Source organism: Homo sapiens, chromosome 16 (assembly GCF_000001405.40).
Source record: "Homo sapiens chromosome 16, GRCh38.p14 Primary Assembly".
Taxonomy (NCBI): domain Eukaryota; kingdom Metazoa; phylum Chordata; class Mammalia; order Primates; family Hominidae; genus Homo; species Homo sapiens.
The window spans coordinates 53282778-53297524 of NC_000016.10; the positions used below are offsets into that span (position 1 = coordinate 53282778).

Sequence of the window (14747 nt, forward strand, 5' to 3'; positions counted from 1 at the left end):
TGTTGACCACTTCCTTCTTTTTAAAATGCTTCTGTGATACCATTCTCCTGTGGTTTTTCTTTTTACCTTTCTGCTTGCTGCTTTTCAGGCATGTTTTCTGTCTCTTAGAGGTCAAAGAATCTTCACATAGGCCTTCTCGTCACTTACTCTTCTTGGGTGTTCTCATCTTTGTGGCTTCAATTTTTGTCTCTATGCTTATGTCTTCCAAATCCCTATCTGTAGCCCATGTCTCTCTTCTGAACTTTAGATCCACATTTCTCCAATGGGCCATGATTAGTTACTCTTCTCTCCAGGCCTTTGCATTATTGTTGGAACATTCTTTCCTCCTTTTTTCCATTCTCTTCCTCTTCCTGCTCAGCCAACATTGACTCAGCCTTTCATAACCTCTCAGATCTGGGTTAGGCACATAACCAGAGTACCCTGCCACAGCACTCATCACACAGTATTGCATGTCCATCTTTACAAGGGCATGTGCATGACTATCTTAATTTATTATTGCCATTATTGGCATGTAGTGAATTCTGTTTAAATATATTTTGAATGAATGATCTACCCTGGGGAAGTTAAAGGAGGCTTTATGCAAGAGATGACACAAGTTAGTCTTTAAAAACAGAAATCAGCAACACCTAATGTGCTTATGGCACTTACATTTGAAACATGAGTTTTGTATGCTGATTGCCTTTTCCTCTTTACAAGCAGGAAAACCTTCCACCTCAGATGGTAATCACAATGTTTTGAGCTTAGAGTGCCATCTTATGGTTGGCAAAGGGAGCTATCTGACCCACTTTTTTTCTCCTCTGGGATTCTGTTTCCAGTGTTCTTTCCTGTTTCCTTTATATTTCAGGGCTAATGCTTTGTTTAATCCTACTTAATAACTCGTTCAAAAATAAATATCTCTTTTTACTGTATTTCTCATTTCTTTTTTAACTTTTTCCATATTACAAGAAAATTATTCCTCCTTTTTCTCTATTTTTCTAAACTGAGCTAAAAAATGTCAATTGTGACCCTTTTGTTTTAAAGCAAAATTAGATATAATAAGGTGTTCATTTCGAGTGCTGACAAATTCGTTCAAGAATCTACAGAAAGATCTCTTCATCCACTTCCTTATGCTTCTTGAGTTAAAAATTTGTGACAAATAAATTTGTTTCCATTTTTTTAATTATAAAAGGTATAAGTATTTCCTTTTCACTGCCATTGTCTTCTATCTCACCTATATTTTGATTACATACTGGGTTCTTGTCCTAGGAACATGTCGATCACTTGTTTGTTTATTTTTATATAAAAATTTGAGTTTCCAAAGACAGCCAACTTAGAATCTAACTTTTCCCACAGAACTTGTCAATAGGAAATCCCCCATTTCTTATAGGTCTTTGTTAACTAATTTGTGAAATAATGATGCCAAGACAGATGAAATTCTACTTTGTATAATTTATATTGTTTTATATCTCTGGTTATTTGAAAGTTGATAATTTATGAATACCAAATAGAGAAATTCTCAGCTATTCAACTTTTTGTAGTAATTTATCCTGTTCAATCTCTATCCATTGTCAAATATAAGAAAATGTGTGTGTGTGTATATATATATATAATATACATATTTGTGTATGTATATATAAATATATAGTTGTGTGTATATAAATTGATACTTAATCATTGTCAGATATTAACTGTATTCTGTGCTAAAGAAAATGACTTGAATCACTGTGGTAAAGAAGTGAACATTTCAGTCCTTCTATACATGACATGTTTTTAGACATGTTATATATGTAACTTGCCAAAGCTTTCTGGGAAAATAATAATTTCAAGTGACGAGCAAAGAATAAGAAAATTATAGTTGCAAAATTGCCCATTCTAGTAGTTATTTGTTACTTATAAAATCAGTCAATCTACAAAATCAAATCATTATGGGTTTATTATTTTACTTTTTAGTAATCTATTGTGATTTTATGGCATTCTATTATTTATTTACAACATCAAAACAGCATTTGAGTGTTTTTTGTTTTTCGAGACAGGGTCTCATTCCCGCGGCCTGGGTTGGAGTGCAGCAACACGATCTTGGTTTGCTGTCACCCCAACTTCCCAGGCTCAGGAGATTTTCCCACCTCAGCCTCCCAAGTAGCTGAGACTACAGGTGTGCACCACCACGCCCAGCTAATTTTTTGTATTTTTAGTGGAGATGGGGTTTTGCCACGTTGCCCAGGCTGGTCTTGTACTCCTGGGTTCAAGTGATCTACCCGCCTCTGCCCCCTAAAGTGTTGGGATTACATACATGAGCCACTGTGTTTGGCCTACACTTGAGTGTTTCAATCAAATTATGAATCAAAAATTTGCTATTACAGGGCATTTTCAGTGTGGTTTTCTTAGCAATAGTGGTCTAGAGGAGCTATTACTTGTTCTGCAGCCTAAAACAATTCATTTACCCTTTTAGGGCCTCAGTTTTCTCATGTGCGAAATGAAATAATTGAACCAGATGATTATTGCCAAGTTGTTGGCTGACATAGTCTCTACTTCCAATAGAACCCTTTGTCTCTAAATAAAGAAAATCAGTGAAAGAATATGATTCTTTAAGAAAATTGTTTAGTAACATTGTTGAAACTTATTTCTTCTCTTGAGCTTAACAATGTTCGTTTATTTTATGGTATCTTTGTTATTGCACAATTTCGTAATTTTAATTGGTGGCAATTATGAAGGATTAAAAAATAATGAAATCCTAAGCTCTCTCTTGAAAGCCACAGTGCTTTAAAAGCTAGGTAAAATTTTGCCTCCTTTTTGACTCATTTATAATAATTCATAATGCCATATTATGATTTTTTTAAAGTGACATTGATGTTTGGGTACCAGAACCAGACCACTCAGAAGTTCCTGCTGAGTGGTGGGATTTTGATGCTGATAAGTCACTCCTTATTGGAGTTTTTAAACATGGTAAGTAAGAAGTAAGGTAGGTGAGATCCCCTTCTATGTATAAGGCAGTTCTGTCAGTTCTCAGTTCATTGATTTCCACTTACAGCTTTATTCCAGTAACATCTATGTTATATATACAGAATTAAAAGCATACACTACCAAACTATGTCTGTCAGTCACCACATTACCTCGTGGGAGGGTGGCATGTGTAACCTACCCTTCCTGGATGTAAATCTAAGACAACTTCCTCTCTCAGGAAGAGTTCTCATGTGAGATATGTTTGTGTGTTTGTGTGTGGGTATGATCAGTTTATCCTATTTCTCATATTAACTGATAAATGTAACTGAAATTTTACTTTAGTAGATATCTATTACCAGATCATTTAATGTTTGTGATAATTTCTAGAAAACATACTTAACCTATATCATTTTAATGTATTATCCCTTTAGTCCAGAAATATCATCCACTGTAAATACGAGGAATGCTTATATGTATACACCTTTCTTCTTTTTATCTTTTTTACTTTTGTAATTGGTGATGTTTTCAGGATATGAAAAATATAACACTATTCGAGCAGACCCAGCATTATGCTTCTTGGAAAGAGTGGGAAAACCTGATGAGAAAGCAGTTGCTGCTGAACAGAGAGCGAATGATTATATGGATGGGTATGTGTGTTTCAGAGTCATGAATTTTCTATATATCTCTCTTCTATTCAATATCAGCATATTCTATGTCACACTATTTATCTTTAAATGAGGTAGCAGTAAGGGAATTGGAGTTTACAATCTGAAAGAGCTAAAGATACCCTAATAGGTTAGCACTTATCCAACAGAATGTGATCGAGGAAGAGGTTGGACCTGCCCCACACCCATTCTTTTGATGAGTTTTTCATTTCTTTCATTTTAACAGCTATATCATGGCCACTGAGTTCATAAACTTCTAGGGGCATAGGGGGAGAAAAAGGCAAGAATGTTATAGTTGATGAGACATATGATGACATTTATTACATAGTCATCCCTCAATATCCATGGGGGATTTTGGTATTCAGGACACCCTGCAGATACCAAAATCCAAGGATGCTCTAGTCCTATATATAAAATTGCATAGGATTTGCATTTAACCTATGCACATTCTCCCGTATGCTTTAAACTATCTTTAGATTATTTATAATTCATAGTACAATATATATGCTGTATGCTATGTAAATAGTTGCTATACTGAATTGTTAAGGGAGTAATGACAAAAAAAAAAGTCTGTACATGTTCAGTACAGATGCCATTTTTTTCCAGATATTTTCTTGAGACAGGGTCTTGCTCTGTCATCTAGGCTGGAATGCAATGGCACAATCATGTCTTACTGCAGCCTTGACCTCCCAGGCTCTAGTGATCCTCCCACTTAGTCTCCTGAGTATCTGGGACCACAGGCACATGCCACCATGCCCAGCTAATTTTCTTGTATTTTATTTTTTGTAGAGATGAGGTCTCCCTGTGTTGCACATGCTGGTCTTGAACTCCTGGGCCCAAGTGATCTTCCACCTTAGCCTTGGCTTCCCAAAGTGCGGAGATTATAGGTGTGAGCCATCATGGACCAGCTTTTTTCGCATATTTTCAAACTGAAATTGGTTGAATTTATAGATATGAAACCCACACATAACGAAAGGCCAACTGTACCTGTTTTAAGGCCTTATGTAATCTGTCTTTTCTTACCCAAAGAGAAAAGTAAGGAACACTTTGTGGTTAATAATAATGCATTTAAAAGCGAACTCGCGGCTGGATGCACTTGCTCACGCCTGTAATCCCAGCACTTTGGGAGGCCAAGGCAGGTGGATCATTTGAGGTCAGGAGTTCGAGACCAGCCTGGCCAACATGGTGAAACCCCGTCTCTACTAAAGATACAGAATTAGCCAGGTGTGGTGGCATGTACCTGTAGTCCCAGCTACTCGGGAGGCTGAGGCAGGAGAATCTCTTGAACCCGGGAGGTGGAGGTTGCAGTGAGCTGAGATTGTGCCACCGCACTCCGGCCTGGGCGACAAGAGTGAAACTCCGTCTCAAAAAAAATAAAAATAAAAGTGAACTTGTGAGTAAGGGTACATTAGAACTAGCTTTCTCCCTATTTGCTTTATAACAGCCTTCCTGCTGTGTCTTGGGCTCTTCTGGCTAGAGAAGAGACGTCAGTCTGACTTTTAAAACAAACTAAAACCCTCCAACAAGACTTTGTCCTATCAAGTGAAATCTTAAGTCCATTACAGTAATTATAGCATTTGTTTGTATTTTAACAGGGATGTGGAAGATCCAGAATACAAACCTGCCCCAGCCATCTTTAAAGATGATATAGAGGTATGCATTGGATCATATTTTTAAATCCTCAATTTTAGGTATTCTTTGGTTTCTTGTGTTTGCTTTTTCTTTTGCATTATATTTTGTTTTCATTATACATAATTCTTCTGTTCCTCAGATTAGCTAAGTAAGTGATCAACTTGGGTTGACAAACATCTCAAATAATCACTCAGAATTCACCTGATCTCCCCTTTTAGACAAGATGGGGGCTGGCTTGGACATGTGGATGCAATGGGGCTTGCCCACCTGCTCTACTTCTTAGAGCTAAGAAACACAGTGTCCAAGGGCAAAATCCCAAAGGAGAGTGAGAACTAGATACTAAAGATATACTGCAAGAGTTAGAAACTATACCTACATGAAGAGGTTTGAGATAGAGGGTAGAGCATCAAGGAATTCTGAGTTGCCAAAGCATAGTTCTCAGTGCTCTGTTTGTAGAATGTCAAAAGGAAGAAGAGTTGGATGAAAGTACAGAAAATAATCTGTAGAGTGGGGAAAAGGATTTTAAAAGAGATGAGGAATGTCTAATATTTATGAGAGTGTGGTAAAAGGCTAAATGACGCTAAAGCTGTCAGGTAGGATTTGCTGGACTTGGTAGCTAAGGGGCTTGATGCCTTGATGAGGGCATGAGACAAGGCTTGCTCCAGTGTGTGGGCAATGAAAACCAAAATCCTATATGAGGTCAAGAGTCTCAAAGGCCAGTAATTACTGACAAACAGCACGGAGAAATAGCAAGGAAATTTATCTCATCACGGACTTTGGGTAAGAAAATTATTGTTTCCCTTGAGAATTTGTAACCATAGACCCACCTTCTCTTGAGTTCGTGATTTGTCTTTTACTTTATCTGTGTGGTCCAAGAGCCCTCAGTGTAATATAAAAAAGGATCAGTCCTTTACTGGTAATATATCTAGGGTGCCTGGTAAAAACAAAAAGCACCTGTAAGAAACAGTTCAACCCTGACTATGCACGAGTCCCGAAGATGAAGCCCTGCATAAAATGAAGTAAAAACCCCAAGTTTAAAAATATATGAGAAACCATTTACCATGAGTGAATGTTAGCATGCAATAAAGAGTAAGATTAGACCCCTGAGAATTTCTGATGTATCTACTGAAATAAAAAAATTCCTATTGAAATTTTTTAAAGTAAATTTGTAAATGATTAAAGACATTAAAGAAAGAACCAGGAACAAAAGACAAGATATGATTTTAAAATACTAGAAAGATGTGAAAAAGATGATATTTAACTTTAAAAGTGGGAAAAGGCTGAGGGCAGTGTGGCTCACGCCTGTAATCCCAGCACTTTGGAGGGTAAGGTGGGAGGATCACTTGAGCCCAGGAGTTCAAGACCAACCTGAGCAATATAATGGGACCCCATCTCTAAAAAAAGAGAGAGAGAAAGAAAAATGTGGAAAATACATTTATTGATATGTAAAAGTCAACAAACAGGTTAAACATTCTCCTGGAAAAGCAGATAAGACACAGTTCATAAAGGGAGAAATGATTTGGAAAACAGATGTGAGGAAATTATCCAGTATAGCATAATGGATTCGTCTGGACCAATCAGGAGAGATAACCCAAATAGTCATTTGAACAGGAAATGTATAATGTAAAGAATTATTAATTATACTATAGTAATAGATTAGTAAAAAATAAAGACTACATTAAAGAATATAGGAATAGCATATAAAAGCAGCATCTACCACTCCTAGGGCTCAGATAAAGCTCCCAAGGAAGAGTCCCATCCCTATCAGTGCCAAGATCCAGACTTTGGTAGGAGGATATGGCCATGTCTCACTGGATGGCAGAAAAGTTGCTAAAAAGCTACCCGTTGAAACTGGCTGTAAATCTGCCCTGTAAGGTTGCCAAGGAAGATTTTCCTGGGAAAGTGTCTCACTGGAAGCACTTCACTCACAAAACCACTCAAGAGGGAGGTTACTGGGAAAAGCTGCTGACCAAGAGTGCTAAAGAAACTGCTCAAATTGACCAGGCACAGTGGCTCATGCCTGTAATCCCAGCACTTTGGGAGGCCAAGGTGGGTGGATCATTTGAGTTCAGGAGTTCAAGACCAGCCTGGCCAACATGGTGAAACCCAATCTCTACTAAATATACAAAAATTAGCCAGGCATGGTGGCATGTACCTGTAATCCCAGCTACTTGGGAGGCTGAGGCAGGAGAATCACTTGAAGCCAGGAGGCGGAGGTTGCAGTGAGCTGAGATTGTGCCACTGCACTCCTGGGTGATAGAGGGAGACCTGTCTCAAAAAAAAGAAACTGCTCAAATTGTGGGAGCTGGGTACTGGGGAAGTGGCCTTGCTATGGGAGCTAAGCAATGGAGGTGATCACCAGAATTAGGACGTAAAACCCTTTTCCTCTACAGTGTCTCTCTGGTTTGCTGTACTAACAAAGCTTTATATCATGCTGACTGACAGAGGAAAAACTATTTAAAGAGCTGTTTAACTATTTTCTTAGAGCAGGCAAAAAAAAAAAAGTATGAGAGGAGCTGGATGCAGTGGCTCATGCCTGTAATCCAGCACTTTGGGAGGCCAAGGAACAGAGATTGCTTGAGCCCAGGAGTTCAAGGCCAGCCTGGGCAACACAGTGAGACTGCATCCCTACAACAAATAAAAAAAAGATGACATTTGCTTGTAGTCCCAGCTACTCAGGAGGCTGAAGCAGGAGGATCGCTTGAGCCCGAAAGGTTGAGGCTGCAGTGAGGTGTGTTCACGCCACTGCACTCCAGCCTGGACAACACAGTGAGACCCTGTCTCGAAAAACAAAAGAAAAATATGAAAGGCAATAAATTTGGAGCAAAGAGACTGAAATCAATAACCACCACAGTGGAATATGTATTAAAAAATTTAGAAACAAGGAGGATAGCATGATAACATCTGGCATGTATCGAGTAGGTATTCCAGAAGGAGAGACTAGAGACAATAAGAAAGAAGCACTATGAAGAGATAGCAGCTGAGAATTTTTCAGATGTTATGAATACATGAATCCTCAGTTTCAAGAAATAAAATAAGTCTTGGCAGGATAAATAAAACTAAGTCCACTCCAAGAAACATCATGGTGAAATTGAAGATACACCAAACAAAGAGAAGATATTAAAAGCAACCAGAGAAAAAGAGATACCCACAAAGGAATTATGATTCTAACTTCAGGCTTTTTTAAAACAACAATAGAAACTAGTAGTCATTGATATAAAATTGCTAAAGTTATGAATATAAGGTAATATTGGAATAGCTAATTAAAGATGCTCTGTTGACAAAAACTGAATCTTCAGCACAAGCAAACTGCTTAAAGCTAAAAAGGAAAAGATTTGTAGGTTACCTAATAACCAGATATGAAAATGAATAAGTTATCTAAGAGTTGGTATAAGAAAGGGGAAAAAAACACACTTAGTTAGCAATAAAACCTAGGGCATACCCATAGTTAGAGGAAGGTTGGAGGAAAAGAAACTAGCTTAACAGTAATCATAGAAAAGGAAATACTTTTAGTAAATAATGACTGTCTAATTGTCAAAAGCAATAGAGAAGTGTGAAAGGATGAGAATTGAGAATAAGCAGTTGAAAGTTTTATTTTTGCTAAATTAATTATTTAACATTCCATTGGGGGAGAAAAGCTCTCTGTTATAAAGAAGTTTGATTCTCTTTTCTTTTTTTATATATCTCTTGACCCAATTACCCTGTGACAAGTTTCTATTTTCTTTTAAAAGGATGATGTTTCCTCACCAGGAGATCTTGTTATAGCAGATGGAGGTAAATTGCACGTACTTCTGTACTTAGTATTATTGTAAATTCACATTCTAATCATACCATGAGATCAGTAAACTATTACACTTTTATAATGTTTCATATATAAAAATTTTTATTGACTGCCATTGTAATCGTTATAGGACATACTAGTTGACTGGGAATTTAACTACTTTTAGTGGTTATGAATCTTCAGGCAGTGACTCACTGAGCTTTTATAGAACATAGGTTTTGATGACATTATGACTTGACTATTAAACTTGTATGTGAGATTTCATCATTAAAGTGTTGATCCAATATATTCAACTTCTTTTTCATTCTATGTGTACATTAAGAGCCATTCTTTATCACCTAGTTTCTACAAAGCTTTTCTGTGCCAGGTCTTGCTTCTACTTCCTTCTGATATCAAGATAGAAATGCACTGTCACAAGAGTACACTCACTCCCACCAGCATCCCAGAGGAACAGTGCCTCACCCTGCCATAGTTCAACTAGGAATGAAAAAGTAGTTTTTGTTTAGTATGAATGACTACAGCTTGATTATGGTATAGATAATTATAGTATTACACCTTAGAAATAGAGCATTAGATCCTATACTTACTAGGTGGATAAAACTTAAAAGTTACATCATTGTCATCTTGAACTTCGAAAATGTTTCTTCCCAGTGACTTAAAATATTTTGATTCTAATTAAACTGAGATAAACTTAATACAGAAGGCTTCCATTAGAAGCGTTTACAATATTCAGCCTCTCATGGATTCAGTTTGGCTTTTAGTTTATTTAAGTTAAAGCCTTGAGTATTTGCCAGCCAGTGTGATATATACCTAGACATGCAAGAGTTGTATTTGCTGTGCAAATCTTTATTCCACTGTATTGTACCTACTTTGAACTGCTCTTAAAGTTTGTTGTAATGTTTCTTATAGCTATTGTTAAAAGAAGCTTTTAGGATGAGAAATATGTTTTTTTTTCCCCACATAGATTGAATTAAAAATTTTTAAAGTAAAGTTGCTGCTTTTGTGAGCTTCATACAGTATCTGTTTAGTTATTATTACTATTACTTATTTAACTATAGATGGTCAACTGATGGAGGGTGATAAAGTATATTGGCCTACTCAATCAGCTTTAACCACACGTTTGAGGCGTCTCATCACTGCATACCAGCGTACTAATAAAAACAGACAAATTCAGCAGATACAACCGACTTTCTCGGTGCCTACCAGTGTAATGCAGCCTATTTATGAGGAAGCCACTCTTAATCCTAAAATGGCAGCCAAGATAGAAAGACAGCAAAGGTAAGACAATAACACTAAATTTTTAATGTATTGTCTAAATGTAGCTGTTCATTCTAAAGCCTGTCTGGGTACAATTATCACGCTTTGTGGAAAACATACATAGAATGTTGGTCAAAGCAAACTGCTTTGTGCACATACACACATATACTCACACATTTATATATGTATGAGTGTGGTAAAACTTATAAAGATTATTGTGTCTTATAGTTGACTAACCATACTGTAATCATTTTTTTTGTCATGTTTAGGAACACTGAGGTATTTAAAAAAATAAATAAATAACTGGGCACAGTGGCTAATGCCTATAATCCCAGCACTTTGGGAGGCCGAGGTGGGAAGAGTGCTTGAGCTCAGGATTTCGAGACCAGCCCTGGCAACAAAGCAAGACCCTCATCTCTACAAAAAATGCAAAAATTAGCCAGGTGTGGTGGCGCATGCCTGTGGTCCCAGCCACTCGGGAGACTAAAGTGGGAGTATCACCTGAGCCCAGAAGGTCCGTGCTGCAGTGAGATGTGATTGTACCACTGCATTGCAGCCTAAGTGACAGAGCAAGACGGTCTCAAAAAGTAGAAACAAAAAAGTGAAGGCATAGAGCAAACTCATGAATTGAATCACTGGCCGGGCGCCATGGCTCACACCTGTAATCCCAGCACTTTGGGAGGCCGAGGTGGGTGAATCACTTGAGGCCAGGAGTTCGAGACCAGCCTCGCTAACATGGCAAAACCCCATCTCTACTAAAAATACAAAAATTAGCCAGGTGTGGTACGCACCTTTAATCCCAGCTACTTGGGAGGCTGAGGCATGAGAATCGCTTGATCCCAGGAGGCAGAGGTTGCAGTGAGCCAGTATCATACCACTGAACTCCAGCCTGAGTGACAGAGTGAGACCGTCTCAAAAGAAAAAAAAAAAGAATTATCAGTAGAACAAAAGTTTATGTTAATTAAATTCCATTCTATCATATTTTACATTTTACATCCAGACTTTTATGAAATATAAAAACGTATGGAAAGCATATGTTCCTTTATTCAGAAGACAAATCCTTGGAACTACTGAAGTCAAAGGGAACAAATCGCAAGCGACCTTATTAAAAAGACAGGCAAACTTCTCTCATTCCACAAGCTTTAACTTCTTAAAAGGAATAGAGTACATGGAAAAGAATAGCTATCTTTGGCATAACCTGACTTCCTTGTTACCCGGGTCCTTGGATGTCCTCTGGAAGATATATTGTTCTTTTGTTGTTTCATTTGCAGCACAGTGATCATAAAATTTAGTCTGACACTTAAGATTTTAGCTATCTTAGTCATAATTTTCAAATACTACCGCCTCTGTAAATGAACTGTTTTTGTTATCTATTGTTGCATAACAAACTACCCCAAAACACAATGCTTTAAAACAGCATTAATTTTTTATTTCTCCCAATTCTGTGAGTTGACCCAGGTGCTGCTTCTGCTTTGTATGCTGTTGGCTGGGTTTCTGAGATACCTAGAAGAGCCACAGTTGCCTCATTCATACGGCTAACAGTTGGTGCTAGCTGCCAGCTGGGAGCTCAGATCCCAAGAGGGACCATTCCAAGTAGAAAGGCAGAAGCTGCAGATTTCTTATGACCCAGTCTCAGTAGTTACAAAATGTCACTTTTGCCACCCTCTGTTGGTCAGAAAAAGCCACAAGGCCAGCCCAGATTTAGGGGAAAGGGAAATAGATTCTACCCGTTAATGGAAAGAGTGGCAAAGCATTTGTGACCATCTTTAATCTACTACAAATTTTCCCTCCATCTGTTGAATCTGGATTAATCTTCCTAAAATATTAGTTTTATCATAACATTTGATGGCTCCTTATTTAGTATAGGTAAAAAGTGTTAAGTTCTTAAGCCTAAGTTTGAAGGTCTCTTCATTTTAGGTTTTAACATGCATTTCTAAACTTTATCCACTTCTTTTCCCTCAGCCAGAGTGCCCTACTTATTTTTGACTTCATACCCTAGCCTATATTGTTTCTATCACCTGGAACACCCTTTCTACCTGTTTATTTCACACTTAGCCCATCCCTCAGAGCTCAGCATATGGCCTATTTCCTCTAATAATTTTTTTTCTTTCTTGAGACGGAGTCTCCCTCTGTCACCCAAGCTGGAGTACAGTGGCACAATCTTGGCTCGCTGCAGCCTCTGCCTCCGGGGTTCAAGCAATTCTCCTGCCTTGGCCTCCTGAGTGGCTGGCACTACAGGTGTGCATCACCATGCCTCGCTAATTTTTGTATATTTAGTAGACACTGGGTTTCACCATGTTGGCCAGGCTTGTCTTGAATTCCTGACCTCAAGTGGTCCGTCTGCCTCAGCCTCCCAAAGTGCTGGGATTACAGGCATGAGCCACTGCACTCGGCCTCTTCTATTAATTTTTTTAACCAGTCTAGCTCACAGTATTCTATTTTTTGTACTCACATAGCAACTTATCTAAGTAAACTACTCGTTTGTCACAATAATATAAGATATTGTAATGAAATTCATCTTTTCCTTTCTATCTTTCTCAGTTGTATCTTCTTGGGGATGGGCACTCTGTCATATTTTTTGTGTCCTGTGTAGTCTTTCAATTAATCGTTTTTCCCATTTTTATTCTTATTACCCAGATTTAATGACTTGGGTTTCCCAAGCTAACTATTTTTACATCATAATTACATTAATCTTCTTAATGTATCACTATGATAAAAATGGCCCATTCACATTTTTCAAAGGCCTGTCCCATATGTTTTTTCTAATTTACACAATAATCCTGTGAGTTAAGCAAGGACAGGGTTCTACACCTGCACTAAGGTTTGCAGATCTATGGTGCATGATGATTATATTACCATCTCAAAGCATCAGGAGCTTTCAAGTGAAAGAGATTACTTTTACCCAGGCCTTTAGAGCATTTCATAATCTGACCCAAACCCTATATGGCTTTGTCTCCAGTATAAGCCATAACCTTGTCAATCTGGAATACTCATCTTTCCCCTCCAATATGGACCACTCCCTCTTTGCTTACTCTGTGCTTTCTTCCTCACTTTCCCTAACCTTAGCCTCGTCCCATCTGAAATGCCACTTACTCTGTGATGCCTTTCTTGATTGTCAAGTCTGAACTGATCCTTCTATCTTCTATGCTCTCCTGAAACTTTTGGTTTCTTTAACTCATACAAATATAAGGTATTACCTTATACTATAAATGTGTTTGATTTTATCTTTTTCCTGAAGGGCAGGATCATCTTACATGATTTTGTATCCTGTGCTGATTTTCTCACATAGCAAAAATACAAAACACCATTATTGTCTGAAGGAATAGTGTATACTTTTAAAAGTATGTTTGGGGACACATGTCATCAGGACCTCCTGAGGCTGTCCTTAACTATTAAAAGTAAATTTTTTTTTTTTTTTTTTTTTTTTGAGACAGAGTCTCGCTCTGTCGCCCAGGCTAGAGTGCAGTGGCACAATCTCGGCTCACTGCAAGCTCCACCTCCTGGGTTCACGCCATTCTCCTGCCTCAGCCTCCTGAGCAGCTGGGACTACAGGCGCCCGCCACCATGCCCAGCTAATTTTATTTTTGTATTTTTTAATAGAGACGGGGTTTCACCATGTTAGCCAGTATGGTCTCTATCTCCTGACCTTGCGATCCGCCCGCCTCGGCCTCCCAAAGTGCTGGGATTACAGGCATGAGCCACCGCGCCCGACCCATTAAAAGTAAATTTTTCTAAAAAAAAGTATGGTTGGATAGATGAGTTAACTAGCATTTAAAAATGTTTTACAAGGCAGCAAGCTTGTATTTAATCCTATAGTGTTAGGTACTTGAAATGTTTTAAGTTTGTATTATAGTCATTATATTTAGTATTAATATTAATTTTAGTGACTAGTGTGGTTTTTTTCTTTAATCTGACTCAAAATAGATGGACAAGAAGAGAAGAAGCTGACTTTTATAGGGTTGTATCTACATTTGGAGTGGTTTTTGACCCTGACAGAGGCCAATTTGATTGGACAAAATTTAGAGCTATGGCTAGGCTACATAAGAAAACTGATGATAGTTTGGAAAAATATTTGTACGCATTCATGTCCATGTGTCGGAGGGTTTGTCGTCTTCCTTCCAAAGAAGGTATGTATAAAATTTCTTTTTCCTGGTTTCGGTCAAAGAAGCAAAAATCACTAAAATTCGGAAATTTCCAATTTGTCTCTTTTATGTGAAATTTCAATACTATCTAATTCAACTTGTCAGTAATTTTTTAGAATTATAAATAAACTAGCTTAAAGATCGCGTATTTGTTAATCCTGCTATTAAAACGAGATCTAAAGAGAATAAAGGTATACACTGAGTCTTAAGAAAACAGGTAGAGTTTAGTGATAGATTTATGATTAGGAGGTGGTGGAAGATAAAGGATTGCTTTTGTTAAACAGAACTAACCTATATTTTCAGTCCATCTTATAGGAATTGTGCTAGAGGGTTTATTTACCTGAATAATTT

The 14747-nt window shown here is 37.7% G+C and overlaps 1 protein-coding gene across 43 annotated transcripts in view; it reads left to right on the forward strand.

Annotated features, from left to right (window-relative positions):
• Window positions 1-14747, forward strand: part of CHD9 (chromodomain helicase DNA binding protein 9) — a 272507-nt gene that overhangs the window by 227787 nt on the left and 29973 nt on the right. For all 43 annotated transcript variants that reach the window (XR_007064921.1, XM_047434707.1, XM_047434693.1 and 40 more), the window contains 6 exons: window positions 2819-2922; window positions 3449-3566; window positions 5180-5237; window positions 8948-8990; window positions 10056-10275; window positions 14179-14381. Coding sequence is in view for 42 of the 43 variants with exons in the window: in XM_047434707.1 (XP_047290663.1) it covers window positions 2819-2922; window positions 3449-3566; window positions 5180-5237; window positions 8948-8990; window positions 10056-10275; window positions 14179-14381 (746 nt within the window). In the remaining variant the exon portion in view is untranslated. The remainder of the gene's footprint in view (window positions 1-2818; window positions 2923-3448; window positions 3567-5179; window positions 5238-8947; window positions 8991-10055; window positions 10276-14178; window positions 14382-14747) is intronic.